Source organism: Homo sapiens, chromosome 19, assembly GCF_000001405.40.
Source record: "Homo sapiens chromosome 19, GRCh38.p14 Primary Assembly".
In the NCBI taxonomy this organism is placed as follows: domain Eukaryota; kingdom Metazoa; phylum Chordata; class Mammalia; order Primates; family Hominidae; genus Homo; species Homo sapiens.
This window is the reverse complement of record NC_000019.10, coordinates 43,389,146-43,412,269: the sequence shown is the minus strand read 5'-3', so window position 1 is coordinate 43,412,269 and position 23,124 is coordinate 43,389,146. Positions and strand designations below refer to the sequence as shown.

The 23,124-nt window shown below is 44.3% G+C and overlaps 1 protein-coding gene and 1 pseudogene across 1 annotated transcript in view; both read right to left on the bottom strand.

Moving 5' to 3' along the window:
* TEX101 (testis expressed 101) overlaps positions 1 to 23,124 on the bottom strand; it is a 29,987-nt gene that overhangs the window by 6,328 nt on the left and 535 nt on the right. Inside the window, exons 2-4 of the mRNA NM_031451.5 lie at positions 10,709 to 10,774; positions 9,411 to 9,504; positions 5,751 to 6,047 (exon numbers count right to left, since the gene is read on the bottom strand). Of these exons, the coding sequence (NP_113639.4) occupies positions 5,751 to 5,765 (15 nt within the window). The 5' untranslated portion in view covers positions 5,766 to 6,047; positions 9,411 to 9,504; positions 10,709 to 10,774. The remainder of the gene's footprint in view (positions 1 to 5,750; positions 6,048 to 9,410; positions 9,505 to 10,708; positions 10,775 to 23,124) is intronic.
* LOC110467528 (RNA, 28S ribosomal pseudogene) lies at positions 4,258 to 6,302 on the bottom strand (annotated as a pseudogene).

Sequence of the window (23,124 nt, the reverse complement as noted above, 5' to 3'; positions counted from 1 at the left end):
TCGCTCCCCTTCTCTGGCCTGCATCCTTTTGCCATAAGTAAAAGCTCTCTGAGGCCTCCCCAGAAGGAGATGCTGGCACCACGCTTCCTGTACAGCTGCAGAACCTTGAGCCAATCAAACCTCTTTTCTTATAAATTACTTCTAGTCTCAGGTATTTCTTTATAGCAGTGCAAGAACACCCCAATACACAGCCCCTTGAGAAAGGTGGCTTTGCCTTTTTGGTGCAAGAGAGATTGACAGATCTTCCTTAGCCTGAGCCAATTTCTGTTCCTCTCCAAGCTTCAGTGTCCTCATCTAGAAAATGAAGAGGTTAGGCTGGGTGCAGTGGCTCAAGCCCATAATCCCAGCACTTTGGGAGGCCAAGGTGGGTGGTTCACCTGAGGTCAGGAGTTTGAGACCAGCCTGACCTTCACCAACACGGTGAAACCCTGTCTCTGCTAAAAATACAAAAATTAGCCAGGCCTGGTGGCACGCGCCTGTAATCCCAGCTACTTGGGAGGCTGAGGCAGGAGAATCACTTGAACCTGGGAGGCGGAGGTTGCAGTGAGCTGAGACTGCACCATTGCACTCCAGCCTGGGCAACAAGAGCAAAACTTGGTCTTGGTCTCAAAAAAAAAGAAAAAAAAGAAAAAAAAGAAAATGAGGAGGTTAGTCTAGAGCAATGGTTGGCAAATAGTTTATGAATCCATGGAACGTTTGTAAAAAAGAAAAAAGCTCAATGGCTAATATACAGTGAAGGCATCTTTTTATATAAGCACTTGTGACACCACCATTGGTCACTGGATTATTGCAGTACGCCCTGCCCTTGCCCATGTGGCTATTTCCCACCTGGCACCAGAGCGATCTCTTAATTGCAAGCCACACCACATTACTCCTGTTTAAAACTTTCTAATGGGCCAGGCACGGTGGCTCAGGCCTGTAATCCCAGCACTTTGGGAGGCCGAGGTGGTGGATCACCTGAGATCAGGAGTTCGAGACCAGCCTGGCCAACATGGTGAAACCCTGTCTCCACTAAAAATGAAAAAATTAGCTGGGCGTGGTGGTGCGCCCCTGTAATCCCAGCTACTCTGGATGCTGCAGCGAGAGAATCATTTGAACCTGGGAGGTGGAGGCTGCAGTGAGTCAAGATTGTGCTACTGCACTGCAGCCTGGGTGACAGAGCAAGACTCTGTTTCAAAAAAACCAAAACCTTCCAGTGGATTCTCATTTTACCTCAAGTAAGATTCTAGGCTGGGTGCCATGGCTCATGCCTGTAATCCCAACACTTTGGGAGGCTGAGGTGGGAGGATCGCTGGAGCCCAGGAGGTGGAGGTTGCAGTTGCAGTGAGCCGAGATAACGCCACTGTACTCCAGCTTTTGCTCTGGTGACAGAGCAAGACCCTGTCTCAAAAAAAAATTTTTTTTTTGTACTTTATAGTATAATTGGCTATGTGTGTTCATGTGTGACTGTGAGTGCATGCATGTTTGTGTGTGCACATGTCTGTATATATGTATGTCTGTGTGTATCTGTGTGCTGTGTGTGAATGTGTGTCTGATGTGTGTGTCTCGGTGTACATGTCAGTGTGCATGTGTGCATGGGCATGTGTGTATCTGGTTCCTTCCAGCTGTGTCTGATCCATCTCTGTGTACTCAGCATATGATTACAGTGTAGGTAAGTAAACATTTGCTGGATTAAAGAATGTCTCTTAGATCCAGAAATGAGAAACACACAACAGTGAGCCACCACATACCTCAGGCCCTCCGTATTCCATCCTCAGAATTTTTTCCATGCTTCCTGTATTCCTGGGGGAAAATTCCAACCTCCCACACTGGTCTTGGAGACCAGCCCCCATGCCTCACCCTTATCATTCCCTGTCTAATATCTATTCCCAGGACATCCCTAGTCTCTTCCAGCCTCTTTGGCTTTGCTCACACTGGTCCCTCTGCATGGGAGACCTCTCCCTAATCCGCTTCCCCCATGCATTTGTTTACCCCACAAACTCCTAATTGTCCTTCAAAGCCCATTCCTCCAATGCCCACAGCCCTCAGTGAAGCCGGCATAAGCATCGTGCAGCTCCCTTTTTGAGTGCTCCAGTTCTCCTACCAACAGGCCTATGCACACACCCAGTTCCCTCTCAAACCAACAGGCTTTTCCTTCCTACTTGTAAAGGATTGAGATCTTCTGCAAACCTTACAAAACAATGAGTTGTAAGCCTTGAGGTTAAACCACCAGTTTTACTTATTTTTTTTTTGAGACAGGATCTCTCTCAATCTTGTCCAGGCTGGAGTACAGTGGTGCAATCACAGCTCACTGCAGCCTCAAACTCCTGGGCTCAAACAATCCTCCCACTTCAGCCTCTTGGGTGGGAGTACAGGAACATGTCACCATGCCAGCTAATTATTTTACTATTAAACCCCAAGCCACAGAATGTCTTTTTGAAGACTGCTAATTACTAATCATAGAGGAAACACTCGCCTTGCTTACACTCACATTTGTTTCTCCTTTTCTTTTTTTTCCACAGAGATGGAGTCTTGCTCTGTCACCCAGAGCTGGAGTGCAATGGTGCAATCTTGGCTCACTGCAACCTTCGCCTCCCAGGTTCAAGCAATTCTCCTGCTTCAGTCTCTTTTACCTTCTGTTTTGAATTCTATTTTCTTTCTTTCTTTTTTTTTTTTTACTAGTACTTCAACTTTCTTGTGCTTACTGTTTGCATGGTATATCTTTTTCAATACTCACACTTTCAATAATGCTTTTCCCTATATGTAAAATATTTCCCTTGTAGACAGTATATATGGGTATTGCTTTTTTATGCAATTTGACCAATCTGTACCCCTTAATTGAAATGTTTGGCCTGTTAACATTGTTAGGTCTAAAGCTGCCTCCCTACTACTTTAAGTTTGGTCTAATGGTTTCTCCATACATAGTGAACTGTAACCTAACTTGATGTGTAAACAGTCTGTAACCTGCTATAGTAAAAATAGCTGAGTCTCAGCCAATCACAGGTACCCAACTAACTGTTCAAACCTGGTTCAAATAAGGCAAGCACCCAACTGTTAGCAGTCCAGCTATTTCAGTGCCTTCCTTAGTTTCTTCTACATCACTTTCTTCTGCGGTAGATGTTATCCAACCATTTATGGACGGAACACCCTGAAGTTTCTCTGAACCTACTCTGGGTCTGGGGGCTACCTGATTAATGCATCATTCATTACTCAATTAAACTGTGTTAAATTTAACGTGTCTGAAGTTTTTCCTTTAGTCAGCCAATTAATCTAATTATTGATTTGACTGCATGTAAATCTACGCTTCAACTTGTGAGTTGGAAGTAGAATGAGGTCACAGTTTCAGGTAGCACCAGGCCTCCACGGGTTCATGAGAATTTCCAGGTGTCCAGGGGTGGGATCAGGCCACAGTATCAGATGGCAGCATCGGTGCTTGAGAAGTTTCCCATGTGACCTTAGGGATCCCAGGATGATGCCCCATAGTCCAGGGATCTTGGGGATGGGAAGAGTCTGGTCTGACTCACTGTGAGGCCTCGCTGAAGCTGTCTTTCTCTGATAGTGCAGCCCTCCCTGAATCCAGGGCTGGAGTGACCTCGATCTGCACAGATCTCTCCAAAAAGAACAAAGACCAAGGTCTCTGGTGCAGGCCCTTCTGGGAGAGGGCACTTCTCACGGTGGGCGTCACGGGTGGTTGTGGCCCTGGTTCTAGAGGGTGGTGTGGCTCCAGAACGCACGCACAGCACTAAAACATCCCTGTCCACCCCCAACTCGCCATTTATTTATTTATTTATTTTTAAGAGGAGGAGGCGTGCAAGGGCGGTGACCGGCCGGACCCTCTTCTCCTCCCCGCCTACCGGCCCACGGCTCAGATGGCCACAGGCGAGGCCGCCGCCACCGCTACCTCCTGGCCCACAGCCACCCCTCGAATAGGGGCCACCGGGCCACCCTCCGACGTGCCTTGTTCGCTCCCCGAACCCCGATCTAGCCCCTGGTCGAGCCCGGGCAGAACGAGGAGAAGACCTGGCTCCCAAACAGGACGCTGCGGGGGCGGCCCTCACCGCCTCTCCACCCCCGGAAGCGCATGTTCCTTGCAGCCCTCGGAAAGCCCAGAGGGCGGGGCGGGCGCCTCCTGAGGGCATTGCGGGCTCGGGCAGGCTCACGGGAGAGACGTCACTGGTTCCCATACCAGAGGCCGGGGTGGGGGTATGGGGACGCGGGAGACCCCCGGGATTGAGGAAGGAAGGATTGATGGCTCTGCACACACGCTGCGAAGCGGACACACGCCTGTGTGGAGGGCTAACTTTCAACAGATCCCATCCAGGGAGCCACTCTGCTGCAGAGAAAACTCGGACCCAGAAGCAGCTCCTCTAGGGATGGTTTAGCGCCAGGTTCCCCACGAATGGGCCTTGCGTGAAGGGCGAGGGGCCGGCCACCCTTCCCACTGCCGGTTTCCCAAGACAATGAGCTCTCCGCATGGGGCCTCAACCCTGCTGCACTGCGTCCTGTTGGCGACGACCGGCTATCCCAGGCCAGCCGAGGCTTCATGGCGCTGCCCTATAGTTCTGCCTGGGCATATTCTGACTTGGAGGCCTTTAGTCAGCATCCCACGGATGGCAGCTTAGCCCAGTGGTCCCTCATCCAAGCACAGGCACCAAACGTCTGAACCTGGGGACCTGTGGTACTGGGCAAGAGCACCATGGCAACCACGCATGCTCACTAGCGTGAAATCAACCTGTCTCACATGGTCTAATCCCAGCTCCGGCTTTCTTTTCTTTCCTTTTCTTCTTTCTTCCTTTTTTTTTTTTTTGACGAAGTTTCGCTCTTGTTGCCCAGGCTGGAGTGCAGTGACACCGTCTCAGCTCACTGCAACCTCTGCCTCCCTGGTTCAAGTGATTCTCCTGCCTCAGCCTCCCGAGTAGCTGGGATTACAGGCATGCGCCACCACGCCCGGCTAATTTTTGTATTTTCAGTAGAGATGGGGGTTTCACCATGTTGGCCAGGCTGGCCTCGAACTTCCAACCTCAGGTGATTCGCCCGCCTTGGCCTACCAAAGTGCTGGGATTATAGGCGTGAGCCACAGCCCCAGCCCCAGCTCAGGTTTTCTGAGTGGGTGAACATCCCAACCTTGGTGAATTCTGTCTTCCAATGATAGGAAGAGCCCACATCCAAGGATCAAAAGGATTAAAAAGCCACAGGACATGGTGGCTCAGGCCTGCGGTCCCATTTATTTTGGAGGCTGAGGCGAGAGTATCACTTAAGCGCCGATCACATAGCTCACATAGCGCAGTGAGCAATGGTGGCACCACTGCACTCCAGCCTGTGCCACAGAATGAGACCCTGTCAAAAAAAAAAAAAAAAACAAAAAACAAAGACAAAAAACAAAAAGAAGCCTCATTCCTATGAATGCTTTCCTGCTGCAAATCAGTTATCCCTGTGACGACTTTTCTGACACCCCTTGTTTAAAACTCAAAAGGTCAGAAGGATCCTGAGGCCCTGCTTTCACCGTCTGAACTCCTGTTGCAAATCCAAGACCCAGGAGCTTTTGCCCTCCTGCCCAACGGGAGGCTTCTGTCTTCCTGCGCTCCCTTCGGACATCTGCGTTCAGACGTGTGTCCCAGTCTCCCCATCTAGCGCTGCCCCTGGTGAGCTTGGCTAAGGCTTGGCGCCAGAAGCCAGAGTCTCTCTCGAAACTCGCGCCCGACTCCCCCACCAGGTTAGTGAAAAAACAATTAATAATGGAATTTCACCCACAGCCCGCAAGGCCCATGTACCTGCCTCGCCCCCATGCGGGAACTGAAGATGGAGGCGGGACCGCCCACCGATCCCCCTCTCCTGTCTCTTCACCGCCTTTCAATCAGGCTCAGAGGGTTCTTCTCTCCCGCAGGTTCCGCCAAGCCTGTCCCTTGGCTGTGGTGTCGCTGGATGCTATGTAGGGACGGTGGGAATAGCGTCTATCCATTCGCGCGCGTCACTAATTACATGGGGCATTGGCTCTTTTAAGAGGGTCACGGTTGCTCCTGCCCTTGATCCGGGCTTCATTGAATTCCTTCACTTTGACATTCAGTGCCCTGCACAGAAATCACAAGTCGTCAATACCCACAGCAGCCTAAGCTGTGTTTTGTTTTAATTCAACAGTCCCAAGGTGCCTCCCAAAGTGCTAGGATTACAGGCGTGAGCCAGGCATCTGGCTTTTTTTTTTTTTTTTTTTTGTAGAGACAGGGTCTCCTTATGTTGTCCGGGCTGGTCTCAAACTCCTGGCCTCAAGTGATCCTCCTGCCTCTTATATGCTGGCTTTCTTATTACATGAAATATCTTTTCCCATCCTTTTATAGTCAACAATTGTGTATCCTTCCATTTTATTTTATCGTATTTTTTTGAGATGGAGTCTTGCTGGGTCCCCCAGGCTGGATTGCACTGGCACGATCTCAGCTCACTGCAACCTCCGCCTCCTGGGTTCAAGCAGTTCTCCTGCCTCAGTCTCCCGAATAGCTGGGATTACAGCACATGCCACCACGCCCAGCTAATTTTTCTAGAGACGGGGTTTCACCATGTTGGTCAGGCTGGTCTCAAACTCCTGACTTCCAGTGATCCACCTGCCTTGGCCTCCCAAAATGCTGGGATTACAGGCGTGAGTCACCGCACCCAACCTCCTTCCATTTTAGATGTGTTTTTAAATAAATAATTTATTATTGGATCTTGTCTTTGTCTTTGCCTCTTTTTTTTTTTTTTTTTTTTTTTTTTGAGACAGAGTTTTGTTCTTGTCATGGTCTTGGCTCACTGCAACTTCTGCCTCCCAGGTTCAAGCCTGCCTCAGGCTCCCAAGTACCTGGGATTACAGAGATGTGCCACCTCGCCAGGCTAATTTTTGTATTTTTAGTAGAGATGGGGTTTCATTATATTCACTATGTTGGCCAGGCTGGTAGACAACTCCTGACCTCAGGTGATCCACCCACCTCGGCCCCCCAAAGTGCTGGGATTACAGGTGTGAGCCACCACACCAGGCCAGATCTTGCCTTCCTAATCCACTCTGATAATCTTTGTTTGGGAAATAGGCTAGAAATTCCAGCACGCATAATTCATTTATCAAAGTCTAAAGTCAATTTAAACCTTTGCCTTTTTCCTGAATAATAAAATGACCTTAGATTTACTTAGCTTCACCAATTTGCCTACTCACCCTGAATTACATACTAACTAACCTTGCAGGGAATTTTTAGTGTATCTTTGTATAATCCCACTAGATATCATTAGCACTATTTATACCAAGTACATTTACATTTTAACGTGTATTTGCCACTTTCTTTTCTCTTCATTACTTTTTGCGTCCCATACCTTCTATCTGTGATCAGTTCTCTCCTTTCTGAAATATATGTCTCAGTGGGAATCAGCTGTTGATGAAGTGTCTCTATTTTTATTTTGCTGAAAATACCTTTGTTTCAGGCTTATTTATTTCTTATATATTTTAAAATTTTAAATTATGACATAAAAAACAGAGTAAAGTGCACACAACTTAAGTATATATATATTTATATATTCACCTAACATATATATAATTTATTATTATGTATATTTTTCATTCTTTCTTTCTGTGTATACACAGGCAAATAATTAGGATACACGCACACACATACATACACATGTATCTAGATTGATAGAAAAAAATTAAAAAATCAATCAAGCAAATGTGGCAAAATGTTAACAATTGGTGAATCTTGGTGAAATATATAAGGGGTTCATTGTACAATTCTTCCACCTTTTCTATGGGCTTGAAAACTTTCAAAATAAAAGGTTGGAAGATAACAAACAAATTGTAGTATATTATATATTAAAATGCTATCCCTTTCCAAAGAGGGGTGAAATGCTAATACATAAACATATGTAATATAATATAGATATCACATTTCAGTGGCTTATTGAGCATTCAAAATCTAGAAGAAGCTGAAGCATCTCCTGAAGGCTTCCAGTCCTTCTTGGGTATAATCCTAGAATTATTGCCCATTCCTCTGAAGTAATTCCCAGAATACAGTCCTTCCTAAACCCAAGAAATTGCCTTTTTCAGAGTTTACTTCTCACGTGCACTGCTGAAGATGAGTATCCCTAATCCTTCATAAAGAATCAGCCAGAGTTGTCGTGATAAAGCCAGCACACACAAAAAGGCTTCTTACACATACCTGTCTTAAATCATGTGTAGAGCTTTTTTTTTTTCCAAAAAAAAAAAAAAAAACCCACACACTTTTGACCATCTTTTTTTTTTTGAGCCAGAGTCTCACTCTGTTGCCCAGGCTGGAGTGCAGTGGCGTGATCTTGGCTCACTGCACGCTCCACCTCCTGGCTTCATGCCATTCTCCTGCCTCAGCCTCCCGAGTAGCTGGGACTACAGGTGCCCGCCACCATGCCCGGCTAATTTTTTGCATTTTTAGTAGAGACAGGGTTTCATTGTGTTAGCCAGGATGGTTTTGACCATCTTAAATCAAGAAAATTGGATATTTCCATTCTGGTCTTTGTGGGCCAGATTTTTATATTGGTTTTCAGTAAATGTCTATCTATAATATTTCATAGAGTCCAGTAGCTTAATACTGACATTGACTTGATACAGCATGAAGTTTCTTTTTCTTTTTCCTTTTTTTTTTTAAAATCAATTAGAACATTTAGTTTATTCTGAATTAGGGTTAAAGGCTAATAATATTGGTATTTCCTTTTTTAAATTATTATTATACTTTAAGTTCTAGGGTACATGTGCACAACGTGCAGGTTTGATACATAGGTATACATGTGCCATGCTGGTTTGCTGCACCCATGAGCTTGTCATTTACATTAGGTATTTCTCCTAATGCTATCCCTCCCCCAGCCCCCAACTCCAAGACAGGCCCCGGTGTCCAAGTGTTCTCATTGTTCAATTCCCACCTATGAGTGAGAACATGTGGTGTTTGGTTTTCTGTCCTTGTGATAATTCACTGATACAGCATGAAGTTTCTAGTGCCGCACACAGTATTTAGAAAACCTTTAAGCCTGAATGACTCAGGTGGGATATATGTAAACATAATGTTTATCTTATCTCACAAATGCATGTGAAATGTATAATTACATCTTAGGAATCCAATACGGTCCACAGAGAGTGAGTGGAGGCACCAGATCAATGTTGATTCTTTACACTGGTGAGATCCTACCTGAGGGATATTAAAGACATTCTGCTTTCTGAGAACTCTTTATCGCCAGATGGCAGTTGGGATATGGGAGGAACTAACGCATGCTGTTTTGCATCTGTCCAGATCATTATTTCTATCTTTTGTTTTTTCTTTCTGGTTCAGCATACTTTTTTAAGGGGTTAAGAATTGAAGATTTTCTCAAAAGCTTTCATGAATTTAGAGCATTCCACCCAATATAATAAAAACTGTTAAGAATGTCAGATTTAGGCTGGACGCGGTGGCTCATACCTGTAATCCCAGCACTTTGGGAGGCCAAGGCAGGCGGATCACGAGGTCAGGAGATCGAGACCATCCTGGCTAACACGGTGAAACCCCGTCTCTACTAAAAAATACAAAAAAATTAGCCGGCTGTGGTGGCGGGCGCCTGTAGTCCCAGCTACTCAGGAGGCTGAGGCAGGAGAATGGCGTGAACCCAGGAGGCGGAGCTTGCAGTGAACCGAGATTGTGCCACTGTAGTCCAGCCTGGGCGACAGAGTGAGACTCCATCTCAAAAAAAAAAAAAAGTCAGATTTAGTTCAAACATCTGTTTGTTCTATCTCCAGTCATTAAACCAGTGCTGCTGCATGACACTGTAATTCCCGACTTTTTACATCCAGCCATAAAGTTGACTTTCAGCACAAAAGATACTTATAAACAAATACAAAATTTTATTTTTCTCTTTTATTGATGTAAGGTTTGGCACTCTTTTGACTGGTGCCATTAGACATCTTGATTATTGTGACAACTCTAGACCTGCCTGCTTAATCTAATGTAATCATGTTCAACATCTACAGGTTAATAATCAATCACACAGAGAACTGAGGAACTGATGCTGTTCGTTTGCTTCTATGATACAGAGATGTCTAAAAACTTCAAATGAACATGTTTTGTAGTTTAGTGACTTCTGTATACATAAAGGGACATATTCATACTGGTTCAGTTGTAAATTATTATTCATATAGACCACTGTAGTAGCTTAAACACTATGGGACACCCGCTTATGTGTTGCCTCACACTGCGTGTGATTTTTTCTTTTGTTAAGCAGCACTTATGTAGACTGCATTTCCAAACGTGTTGAGCACTCAGAGTTTAGTCTACAGTAAGTTCTTTTAATGAATACCAGTTTTAATTCATAGACTGCCGTGGCCTTAAAAATATTCTGTACAATATACTGCACTGTGTTGCACAGACACTACTTGCTTTTCTCCATTCGTATTTTTATGAGTAGAATCTGGGCTTTTAAGTTTTCTCTTTTTTTTTTTTGAGACAGAGTTTTGCTGTTGTTGCCCAGGCTGGAGTGCAATGGCACAATCTCCAGCTTACCGCCTCCCGGGTTCAAGCTATTCTCCTGCCTCAGCCTCCTGAGTAGCTGGGATTACAGGCATTTGCTACCACACCCGGCTGATTTTGTATTTTTAGTAGAGACAGAGTTTCTCCATGTTGGTCAGGTTGGTCTCGAACTCCCAACCTCAGATCTGCCTGCCTTGGCCTCCCAAAATTCTGGGATTATAGGCGCAAGCCACCACTCCCGGCCCTCAGCCACGCACCTGGCCCAAAGTTCTCTTCTTATTCTTTGAAGCATGTTGCATATTTCCCTGATGGGATGGATGGTTCTGTAAATGAAAGGGTATTTAAACTTGCTGCTGTTGTTCAATACCATTAATGGTCAAAGTGAACCATTACAAAGAATGTGACAACTTGCTTGTGCCTAAAAGGAGGAATTGGAACTAGAGTGTGTGACTCTGTGAGGACTGTATAGGTTTGTTAATTGACCTATACCTAAACCTTAATGTGTTTGTGTGTCTATACATTGCTTTCAGCGTTTCAAGACACCTAGATGCTATTACCAGCATTTTCCTGTGCATTAACCTCTGTGTGTGAAAACTTTTAACAGTTACTGAATTATGTAAATATGTGAATTTTTTTATTTAGGTGGATGCATTTTTTTGTCTGTTTACTGCTCTTCTCAGCTTTATTCAATAAACTTGCATTTTGAGGCTTGGATTGGCAATTTTAACTTAAAATGTGCATCATGATGGAAGGTGCAGACTTTTTTGGAAGGGGATAGAAAGTAAGTTTCCAAGAGGAGGGCCTATAGAACATGTGTCAGAAATCAGCTCAGCCCTCAAAGAATTGGGTCTGTGGGCTAGTTAAAAGACAAATAAACTTTTAAAATATTTAAAAAAACATATTTGCCTATGCTTTTTGAAAGAAGCAGTGGAAGAATAAACAACAAAACCAAACTGATTCACCTATAGGAGGAGGGAGGGAAAAAAAGGGGCCTGAGATGGAACATAAACCATTAAGCCTTTTGCTTAATAGTTTGATTGTGTAACCAGGTAAATATTTTACCTTATTAAAAACAAAATAAAATTTAAAACACAAGAGCTAAGCCATCTCTAAAAGTGAAAACTAAACTGGTGGAAATGAATCTGGGTGGAAAGCTGGTGGCATAGTAACACAGAGGAAAATTATTTCCAGCTACTTTACCTGTGTACAATGACTGGACAACTCTAGTGAGATAGATCTTGCTGATTGAAATAAATGAAAGAAATCTAAACTGCATTCAGTACTGTTATTCTTAGTGCAAACAGCTGCATGACTATTTTGAAACAAATAGCAAATAAGTAATTATGCATCAGGGCCAGAGAAAAGAGATACAAATATGAAACCAATGCATTTAAACGAAAACCCAAGAATCTTTCATTTGCATGGGAAATACTAGTGTGAACTCAGGAAAAGCATTTCTTTTTCTAAAAAGTATGTCTTTTTCTAGCTGTATCTGCTAACAGTAGCAAACAGCACCCTTAGTATTTAAATTGTAGTCTCTAAAAATACCACTCCCCACAAAAATGAATCTTCTCCAAGACTCCTTGGAGACATGCCTGATTTCAGATATGAAGTAAGAATTATGTAAGATGAGCCTGGGATATTTTCCATGCCAAAGCAGGAAATTATCATATACTACAAGGGTCATGTCAAGAGGACATAGGAGGCCGGGCTTGGTGGCTCACGCCTGTAATCCCAGCACTTTGGGAGGCTGAGGCGGGTAGATCACCTGAGGTCAGGAGTTCGAGACCAGCCTGGCCAACATGGTGAAACCCTGTCTTTACTAAAAATGCAAAAATTTGCTGGGTATGGTGGCTTGTACCTGTAATCCCAGCTACTCAGGAGGCTGAGGCAGGAGAATTGCTTGAACCTGGGAGGTGGAGGTTGTGTGACCTGAGATCATACCATTGCACTCCAGCACTCCAGCCTGGCTGACAAGAGTGAAACTTCGTCTTTAAAAAAAAAAAAAAAAAAAAATAGGACATAGGAGCCAACTTGGAGGGGCTGTTTCAAACAAAGGTGGGACATTTCGAGCATCAAAAGAAAGTGTGGATGCAATGGATTGAAACACTTAAAATATACAAAAATCTATATTTCATAATAATACTTTTAAAATGTCATCAGTTTACTTTGGAGGTTGCTAGGGAACTAGCTCACAAAGCTAGTATATGAAGGAAAATAATCAAGTATCACAGTAACTTCCTAAACAGACAACACTTCAAGGTAACCAAATCACGAGTGAGGAAGTTTTCTTCATTAGAGAAAAATAAGTCTAGCTTTTAAAAATGCAGGAGGAATTTAAAAATTAGATAATTGCCATTTTGGAATGCTTAATGAAATGACTGATCTAGGCAATGATCATCATCATTGCCTAGATCATTCTAAAACCATCAAGCAAAAAGTTGATGGGCAACTTGACAACACACGAATCAGGCTGACAACACCTGAACCCATGGATCAATCTTTAAGTCACTGAAATATCACACAGGAATAATAGCTATATAACTATTGCAACTTGATATAATCCAATATAATGTAGATAGCATCACTCATGAAGTATTCTTGCCTAAAAAAAATGCAACCAGAATTTACTCAAGCTTTGGGATTCACTTTGAGATTTATAGAGAATAGAGGGCTTAGAGTGAAGTCAGTGAAATGACACCATAAGGAAACAAATTCAGAATGTGGGCATTCTATAAGACAACATGTCTGCTCTCCTCACAGTCTATGTCATGTCAAAGAACAAAATTTCAGCAAATAGAGTAAAATATCGAATTGGCTTTTATTAGCAATTCATGAACTAGGCGGCATTCAATCTATAAAACAGAATGGAGCGCTATTGAGCTAAAGGGATTTGGTGAGTTTTATGGGCAGAAAAAAGCCAAAGAAAGCAGGAACAAGGAAAAAATAGCCAATCTGTCATCTCAAAGTTACTTCCCTTTATAGGGATTTTAGCAAAATCTTGTTGGCTTAATGGGATTTGGCTATAATCTCTCTCATGATTTCTGGAAGGACGTATCTTACTAGTAAACAACGCAGGTTTCAGTTTGATGATGTGCAACTTTAGCATAAGTTGACTCCACTTTGGGCCTTCTGTCTTTTCTTTAGCAGTCATGAAAAAAATGGGTAGTGGAGGGGGACTGTTGTAGAATGAAAGATACTTAATAACCAAATACAAAGCATTAGTCTTGATTGTATCCCCGTTTAAAAATATACATGGGGCTGGGCATGATGGCTCACGCCTATAATCCCAGCATTTAGGTAGATCATGAGGTCGAGAGATCGAGACCATCCTGGCCAACATGGTGAAACCCTGTCTCTACTAAAAATACAAAAATTAGCTGGGCGTGGTGGTGCATGCCTGTAGTCTCAGCTACTCAGGATGCTGAGGTAGGAGAATCACTTGAATCCAGGAGGTGGAGGTTGCAGTGAGCGAAGATGGCGCCACTGCACTCCAGCCTGGCAACAGAGCGAGACTCTGTCTCAAAAAAAAGTATATATAAATATATATTTTTATATATATTATATATATTATATATTTTATATATTATATGTTATACATATTTATATATTATATATTTATATATAATATATATTTTTATATATTATATATTTATATATAATATATATTTTTATATATTATATATTTATATATAATATATATTTTTATATATTATATATTTATATATAATATATATTTTTATATATTATATATTTATATATAATATATATTTTTATATATTATATATTTATATATAATATATATTTTTATATATTATATATTTATATATAATATATATTTTTATATATTATATATTTATATATAATATATATTTTTATATATTATATATTTATATATAATATATATTTTTATATATTATATATTTATATATAATATATATTTTTATATATTATATATTTATATATATTATATATTTATATAAAATATATATTTTTATATATTTATATTTATATAATATAAATATATAAAAATATATATACATGGAAAAGATATTTTGCAGAACAATGGTGAAGATTGAAAATGGACTATGTATTAGATACTGTTAGGGAGTTATTGTTGATTTTCTCAGGCGTGATCACGGTATTGTGGGCTAGTCATTCTGGGGAGAGGCATGCTAAAGTACTCAAGGACACAGTGTCTTGATGTCTGCAATTTACCCTGACATGGTTCAGAAAAAAACCAGAGGAAATATGGCAAAATGTTAAACTTGAATATAAGGAGAGGATGTGGGTATTCTTGGTATTATGTTTTCAATTTTTCTGGATGTTTGAAATCTTTCATATTAAAAAGTTGAAAACAAAGGATGATGTGTAAGAAAGTAACTTGGTGGCATCAGAGGTCATGGATGGTGGCATTGGTGCAAAGACATCAAGGATGGGATGGGTCCAGTTATACAAAGAGTAGATGAAAGACACCCCAGGCACAGGACAGCAAGTGCAAAGGCCCTGAGGTAGGAACTAGCCAGCACCACATTGTCAGCCATGTGAGTGACCTTTCTAGAAAGCAGACCCTTCAGGCCCAGTAAAGCTGCAGATGACTGCACCTGGCTAGCGTCTTCACTCCAACCTCATGAGACTCACCAAGTCACAATCACCCAGCTTCATAATAAAAAGCTGAAAACAGGCTGGGTGCGGTGGCTCATGCCTGTAATCCCAGCACTTTGGGAGGCTGAGATGGGTGGATCACGAGGTCAGGAGACTGAGACCATCCTGGCTAACATGGTGAAACCCCGTCTCTACTAAAAATACAAACAATTAGCCGGGTGTGGTGGCGGGTGCCTGTAGTCCCAGCTACTCAGGAGGCTGAGGCAGGAGAATGCCCTGAACCCGGAAGGCGGAACGTGCAGTGAGTGGAGATCATGCCACTGCACTCCAGCCTGGGCGACAGAGCGAGACTCCGTCTCAAAAAAAAAAAAAAAAAAAAAAAAAAAATGCTGAAAACACTCTTCAATTCCTGCCCCACAGAATTTGAGAGGTAACAAATATCTGTTGCTGTTTTAAGCCCCGAAGCCGTGCGGTAATTTGCTAGACAACAATGGATAACTAATGCAGCTTCTGTCACATCTTCTAGGAAACTCCTTAACCTGCTCTCTCAGCACAAAACTCCCTTCCTCCATTTGGTTCCATGTAAACCTCTGTTCCTCCTTCAGGATGCACCTAAAGGAGTGGTTCCCAAAATAGGGTTCAGGTGTCAGTGGTGGAAGGCATGTGAGATGATTCTAAGGGGTTACACATGACAGTTGTTAAAAAGCGTTACAGGCTATGCTTGTGATTAAGCGCCTATTAGAGTAAAAGAATTGGAAATATCATATTAATCCCATGATTAGATAAACATTATTGTTTTAAGATGAGGCTACAGAAAAACAGTGAGTTGTTTTAAGGAAAATTTTTGAGTAAATAATAGTGCAAGGGCTATTCAGATCGTAAAAGTGGAACACGACTAAAATTTGGAAGCGCAATGAGGAATAGCAGGAATTCCTCTAGGAAACCTTCCCTGCCGCCCCAGGCAGGCCAGTTTGCCCCTCACTCAGACCCCTAAATACCTAAATATCTCTCCACTTGGTGCTGGTGGAATCTGTCAGGATCCCATTTCTGGCTGATGGAAGCCTGTGAGGCTGTGGGCTCTGCATCTGACCTGAGCTCCAAGTCTGCAGGGCAGGCCCTGGGGAAGGGGAGATGGATGGAAAGTGGGGAGTAAGGGCAGGCCGGGAGTTTACACAAGGTGGAAGGTTTCGGGACCCACAGAACCTACCTCTGTTCTTGCTGCCTCATCTTGGTGGTGCAGGGGACCTGCAGGAGTGAACTTTGTCACAGAGCTCAATGCACACCTGGCTCAGGAGGTGGAGAAGCTGAAGGAGGATTGGCGTAAAGGTGGAGCAGTTTCAGGTCCTGCTGCTGCTCCAGGCTGACCAGCTGAGCTAGCAGATGAGCAACACCTGGACCTGAGCCACGGAGGCTCCTGCCTGGATTTCCCCAGCATGAAATGCACAACGGCAGCTGCTTTGGGCAGGTGTGTCCTGCTCCCAACCTAACAGGAACCTACAGGGAAGGGAGTTCTGAGAGGCGTCGTTCAGCCTACCTGAGTTCAGAGTCACCACACCCTCTTATGGGTCTGAGCACCCTGTCCTGTCTGTGCCGTTCCTGGGAATGGGAGGTCCTTGAGAGCATGGATGGGTCTCATTCATTTTGGGGTCTCAGTATCATTCAGCATAGGGCTTGGCACAGAGCAGGGGCTCAGGGAGTGCCCAATGAATTGATAAATGGTTGTTAGTGACACTCTAAATTTAAATAAGAAATCCATGCAGCCACATCACAGGTTTTTCTTACCTCCACCTGGGTGGGGAAAGATGGACTCATCAGTGGCCTGAAAGGGATCAAGTTAAGTCACCCCAAAATTCGCCACATTTGTATAAGGATTATTTTGAGCTTAAGGCCTTTGAGAATCAACAGATACGGGAAGAGGTCTGCCCTCCCCTTATCTACCTAAAAGCAGAGAGCATAAATTTCCTTTTCTGAAGGTGTTTTCTACCCAGATGATAAAGAAAGGCAGCTCATCCTGGAGACTGAGATGAGTGTGCATAGACAGACCTCACTAAAAGACCCTGCATCTCCATCAGTTTCCCAGGCATTTCTAGGTCACTTCCCCATGATGGACCTTCCCTTGAAGAACAAACCCCTTTCCTTTGTTAAAATGGTATACAAGCCCCACAAGTCTAACCATTTCTTTGAGTTTCACTTCTTTTCTGTGAACTCCCATGCATGTAAATATTAATGAAAATTGTGTGCCTTTTTAAAATTGATCTTTTGTTAGTAAAATTCACAAGACCCCAGATACTGAACCTAAGTGGGTAGAGGAAAAGCTTTTCCTCCCTGAAAAGCCATTTTCCAGATAAACAAACAAACATCACAAGTATTTGCATAAATTCTAGACAACAGAGTTGTCCATTTACACATTATGTCCTGGGCATTGAATTAATAAATGTAAGTAAGGCCGGGTGCAGTGGCTCACGCCTGTAATCCCAGCACTTTGGGAGGTCGAGGCAGGCGGATCACGAGGTCAAGAGATCCAGACCATCCTGGCTAACACGGTGAAACCCCGTCTCTACTAAAAATACAAAAAATTGGCTGGGTGTGGTGGCACGTGCTTGTAGTCCCAGCTACTCCAGAGGCCGAGGCAGGAGAATCGCTTGAACCTGGGAGGCAGAGGTTGCAGTGAGCCAAGATTACGCCATTGTACTCCAGCCTGGGCGACAGAGTGAGACTCTGTTGCAAAAAAAAAAAAAAAAGTAAGTCAGGCAATTCATCTGAATTTCAGATATTTGAAGGCTAAGAGGGTACCTTCACAGGACCAAGTGATGGTCTCTGGAGTCTGGGTGTTTTACAGAGCTCCACTGACAGAAATAATCTTTGCAAGAACATTGTAGGATGCTGAATAGGATCTGCTTACATCTCAAGTTGTCTGGGAAGCGGGGACATTTGCTCCTTCTTATCTTGCTGGGATTTCTGTCACCAGCAGTTGGAAGGGACTCCAGTTTTAAGACAAAGGTTTACAATTTCTTTAGCACCAAGAAAAAAAGAAGCATAAAACTGGAGAGAAAAGGGTATAATATTATGTTCAGCAAGGAATATGGAAAATATAATCTTTTGAATCTTCTGAGTTAATTAATCTGTACTCTGAGATGGGCAGAAATGAGAACCACGTCCCCATCTCTGCAATAAATTCCCTAGGTTTGGATTTTAGCCAAGAAGTTTCTGCTTTCCTGGAGAATGTCTCTGAATTTAAACACCACACCTCAAAGCCAGAAAAGGGAAAGTTTACTTTGGGCTTTAATCCAAGTTTTCAGTGGCTGGAAACACGGTTACACTCCTGGAGACAAGGTGGCCTTGGACACCCAGGAAGAGCCCTGCTCCTGGGCACACCTGGCCCTGGAGCCAGACCACCTGGGTTTGAACCCCTGCTCCGCACCTTACCAGCAGAGCTTCCTCTCTGGAAAGTGGAGATGATCGTGATATCACTGACCTCAGACTGTGGTTGTCTCAATTAAATTAACAATCCATGTTATGAGTGTACAAGTATCGGGCACAGAGCATCAACTCAATTAATGCTGATCTGTAATGAATGGGGATTCATGCCAAGTGCTGATGATGTGCATGATATTAGTGCTGACTGCTGTAAGTACTGGAAGCCATCATGATAATGAACAGTGACTCTCATCACAGTTCATGGGGTCCTTTATGAAACATGAGGGTGCATTAAGCAGAAACAGCCAGCCCAGCCCTCTCCACCACCCTTGAGGTGGTGTATCTATGCCTGGTTTACAGTGTGGAAACTGAGGTTCAGAGACAGGGACTGGATTGTGCATGGACACCCAGTCACGAAGGCCAGGAAACGATGGATGGGATGCAGGCTGTGCGCTCAGCCCCCTCCCCGTGGAGCAGCTCAGGGGCACTGGGCATTGGGTCGCCCTGAAGATGCTGCTCTTGTCTGTCTGCCTCTCTCTCTTTCCATCACACTGGGTCTCTGTTTCTGGCTCTGTCTCCTCCTCACTGTGTGTCTGTGGCTCACTTTGTGTCTTTTCATCTCTGTGTCTCCCTGTCTGTCTCTGTCTTTGTCTCTCTACCAATGGGTACCTTCTGTCTTTCCTTCTTTCTTTCCTTCCTTCCTTCCTTCCTTCCTTCCTTCCCTTCTTTCTTTCTTTTCTTTCCAGAGTCTCACTCTGTCACCCAGGCTGGAGTGCAGTGGCACAATCTTGGCTCACTGCAACCTCTGCCTCCTGGGTTCAAGTGACTCTCCTGCCTCAGCCTCCTGAGTAACTGGGATTACAGGTGTGTGCCACCACATCCGGCTAATTTTTGTATTTTTAGTAGAGACAGGGTTTCACCATGTTGGCCAGGCTGGTCTCAAACTCCTAATCTCAAATGATCCACCCGTCTCAGCCTCCCAAAATGCTGGGATTACAGGTGTGAGCCACCACTCCAGCCTCTTCTTTCTGTTTCTGTGTATTTATGAGTGTCCTTCCTCCTGCACACTGTCTGTCTCTCACTCTGTATCTCTCCAGCTCTGTCCATCTCTTTTTCTGGGTCTCTTTCCCTCTGTGTCTCTCTGTGCCTCCCTCTTTGTCTCTGTTCTGATTTTGTGTGGCCCCATCAGCTTGACTATCGTGGTGTCTCCATGTCCCTCCTCCTCCTCTTGGGTGCTCTTTTGGTTCTATGTGTTTTCCTTGTGTCTCTGTGTCCCTGTGGGGGTCTCAGGACAAGGATGAGGGTGAGGTAAGTGAGGTGTCTCTGCTGCAAAATCTAAGGAGACACCCAAATCCGGGGTTGCGCAAGTGACCCCTTAATTTTTAGTCCTAGGCCCTTTCTCTCTCCCCTCACTCTCTCTTTTCTGGATTATAACACCATTGATTTTTAATCAAGAATCCACAAGCCTGGGTCCTCTCTTGTCTCACCCTAGTCCTGCCCTGAATCTCTCTATGGCTCACCTTCTACTTCTCTGGCTCTGGCTCTTTGAGTTCTCCCTCTCTCCATGCCTCTCCTCTCCCTCCTTCTCTCTGTGTTAATGTCTCTGTCCCCTTTGCTCTCTGTCTCTCTCTGTATCTCCCCTCTCCACCCCTGTATTTCTCTGACTCTGTCTCTCTCTGGGTCTTTATCATTTTCTCTCTCTCTCCATCCCTGCCCCAACTCTCTCTGTGTGTTTCTCAGTCTCTCTGTTTTCCCCTAAGCCAGGGGCTTCATGTTGTCCATCTGTATTGAGGTCTTGGGTGGCCAGCAGGGTTCTGTGCTTAGTGGGGCTTCCCCTCAGTGCTTTCCATATGCTGTCCAGACTGGGGGTGCTGCAGCTAGAAAGGGAAGAAGGTTTCCATATTTCCTGAGACTGCAGTCACATCCTCTCACCAATGCACTCACCTGCTGACTAACCAGTGTACTTCTGGGAATTGCAAATGCATGAAATGGCACCCATTCTAGACTAGTCACGGCAGTGTTGGCGATGGCCACAGACCGGGAACGACCCTGATGTTTATCCATAGAGAACTGGGTCATGAGCCATGATCCACATCATGGATACTGGGCAGCTGTGGCAAAGAATGAGGTATCCTTCTGTCTGTGCACCCGGGAAGGTTTCCAAGATACACCGTATAGTGAGAAAAACAAGAAGCAGAACAATGCACCATGTGCTACCTCTTACATTACAAAGGAGGAAATGTAAAATTAATTTACAAATGGCCAATAAGCACATGAAAAGATGCTCAACATCACTAATCATTAGGAAAATAAAAATCACAACTACAGTGAGATACCACCTTACATCCATTACGATGGTTGTTCTCAAAAAAAAAAAAAAAAAAAAAAAAGAAAAACAGAAAAGAACAAGTGTTGGCAAGGAGGAATTGGAACGCTTGTGTAGCATTTGTGGGTATGTAATATGGCACAACCACTGTGGTCGTTTCTCAAAAAATTAATCATAGACTCACCAAAAGATGCAGCAATTCGGCTTCTGGTATATTCCGAAAAGAACGGAAAGCAGGGGCCCCAGCAGATATTTGCATGTCTTTGTTCATAGCAGCATTATTCACAATAGCTAGAAGTTGGAAACAAGCCCAGTGTCCATCCATCCGTGAATGAATAAGCAAAACGTGGTCTATATGTACAAATGAATGGGATTCAGCCATAACAAGAAGGGTGGTTCTGATGGTGCTTCAACATGAATGAGCCTTGAGCTCTTTCTGCTAAGTGAAATAATCAGACTCAAAAAGACAAATTTGCATGATTCCACTTAACAGAGGTGCCTAACGTCGTGAAATGCATAGACAGAAAATGAAAAGGTGGTTGTCAGTGGCTGGAGGGAGGCGGAAAGAGGAGTTGTGTTTAATTGGTAAAGAATTCCAGTTGGGGAATATGAAAAAGTTCTGGGTGGGGATGGACAGTGGTGGTCGTTGAACAACAACCTAAATGTACTCCTGCCACTGGATGTACACTTAAAAGTGGTTAAAATGGGCCGGGCGAGGTGGCTTACGTCTAATCCCAGCACTTTGGGAGGTCGAGGCAGGCAGATCACGAGGTCAGGAGATCGAGACAATCCTGGCTAACATGATGAAATCCCCTCTCTGCTAAAACTACAAAAAATTAGCCGGGCGTGGTGGCATGCACCTGTAGTCTCAGCTACTCAGGAGGCTGAGGCAGGAGAATCGGTTGAACCCGGGAGGTGAAGGTTGCAGTGAGCCGAGATCACGCCATTGCATTCCAGCATGGGTGAGAGAGTGAGAACTCTTCTCAAAAAAAAAAAAAAAAAAAAAAAAAGAAAAAAAAAGAAAAGAAAAGAGAAGAAAAGAAAAAAGTCATTAAAATGGTGAATTCTATGTTATATATATTTTACCATAATTTACAATAATTCCTATTGTTTTGCATAAAACAGCTGTAGAAAGCTTTGCAGGTCATGAACAGCACAGCTGGCTACTGGGTCTGGCGTGGGGCTAGGACCTGGGTGCATAGGGAACAGGGATGAGACACAGGCTCTTCATGCCTGCACACATACACAGATACACACGGATGCAAATTTCTGAGCCATCTAAATACAACACCTATTCAAAAAATTAAACAGAAAAAGGAAATGTAATGGAGCTGAAGGATGAGGGTAGGTGGGGTGGTTGCTCAGGAGGACAGTGGAGGCCACATCACCCAACCTTCGAGGCCTCTCTTAGCAGCTGGAGCACATCCCAGGGACTTGGGAGCTCTGGAAACAGAAGCAGGAGAGGGCCATGGCCGGAGGAGGCCTGAAAAAGATCATCTCTGCCACAGAGAAGAAGCTGGCTCGGATGCTGCTGGCCCCAGTGGAGACAGGGAGACCCGGGGAGACAACTGTATTCATTCAAGGAGGAATGGGTGGTGGTGCAAACTTAGGTGGAGGCCACAGGGTGCAGAAGACAGGACACAGCAGAGAGAGATGTAGGACATGGAAGGGACATAAAGGAGTGACCACTGGACATAAAGGGGCAAGGAAGTGGAAGCATGAGAACATCTGCTAGGCATCCGGCTGAGGGGTCGGGTGCCCAGGGTGCCCTTCCCTAAGGGAGAACCCAGCACAGGAACAGATTCAGAGAAAACCGCCCAGCTCACTCCAGCAAGAAGCAGAAAAGGGACTGGTTAAAGGACAGGGTAGGAAGGTCACCAAGCTCCAAGGGCCCTCATGAAGCCAGCTTGGAGGCCACAGGGCCCAGGGCAAGGACCAAACCACAGGCACAGGACAGCTCCGGTCAAGATCTTCTGGCTACTGCAGGAGGCAGAAACCACACCCTGCACCCTGCACTGCTGAGGCTGGCCCTGGAGTCCAGAAGCTTCTGTCCCCGATCCCCACTCAAAAAATTAAAACAAAAACAAAAAGCAAATCGGTGCCATGCACCCTCTGCTTCCTGGTGCTGTTCGGGATCCTGAGTCTTTCACGGGAGCACCTGATGGGGAAAGCCTGGACCCGTGTCTGTGTCCCTCCTGCAAAGAGTGCTGGGAAAATGAACTTTCCGGCTTCCTCCTTGGGAAGACAGAACATTCCCCATGTGTACTGGTGGCATTTAAAAACTGCACTGCAGCCAGAGAATATGTACCGTGTTCCACCTGGAGA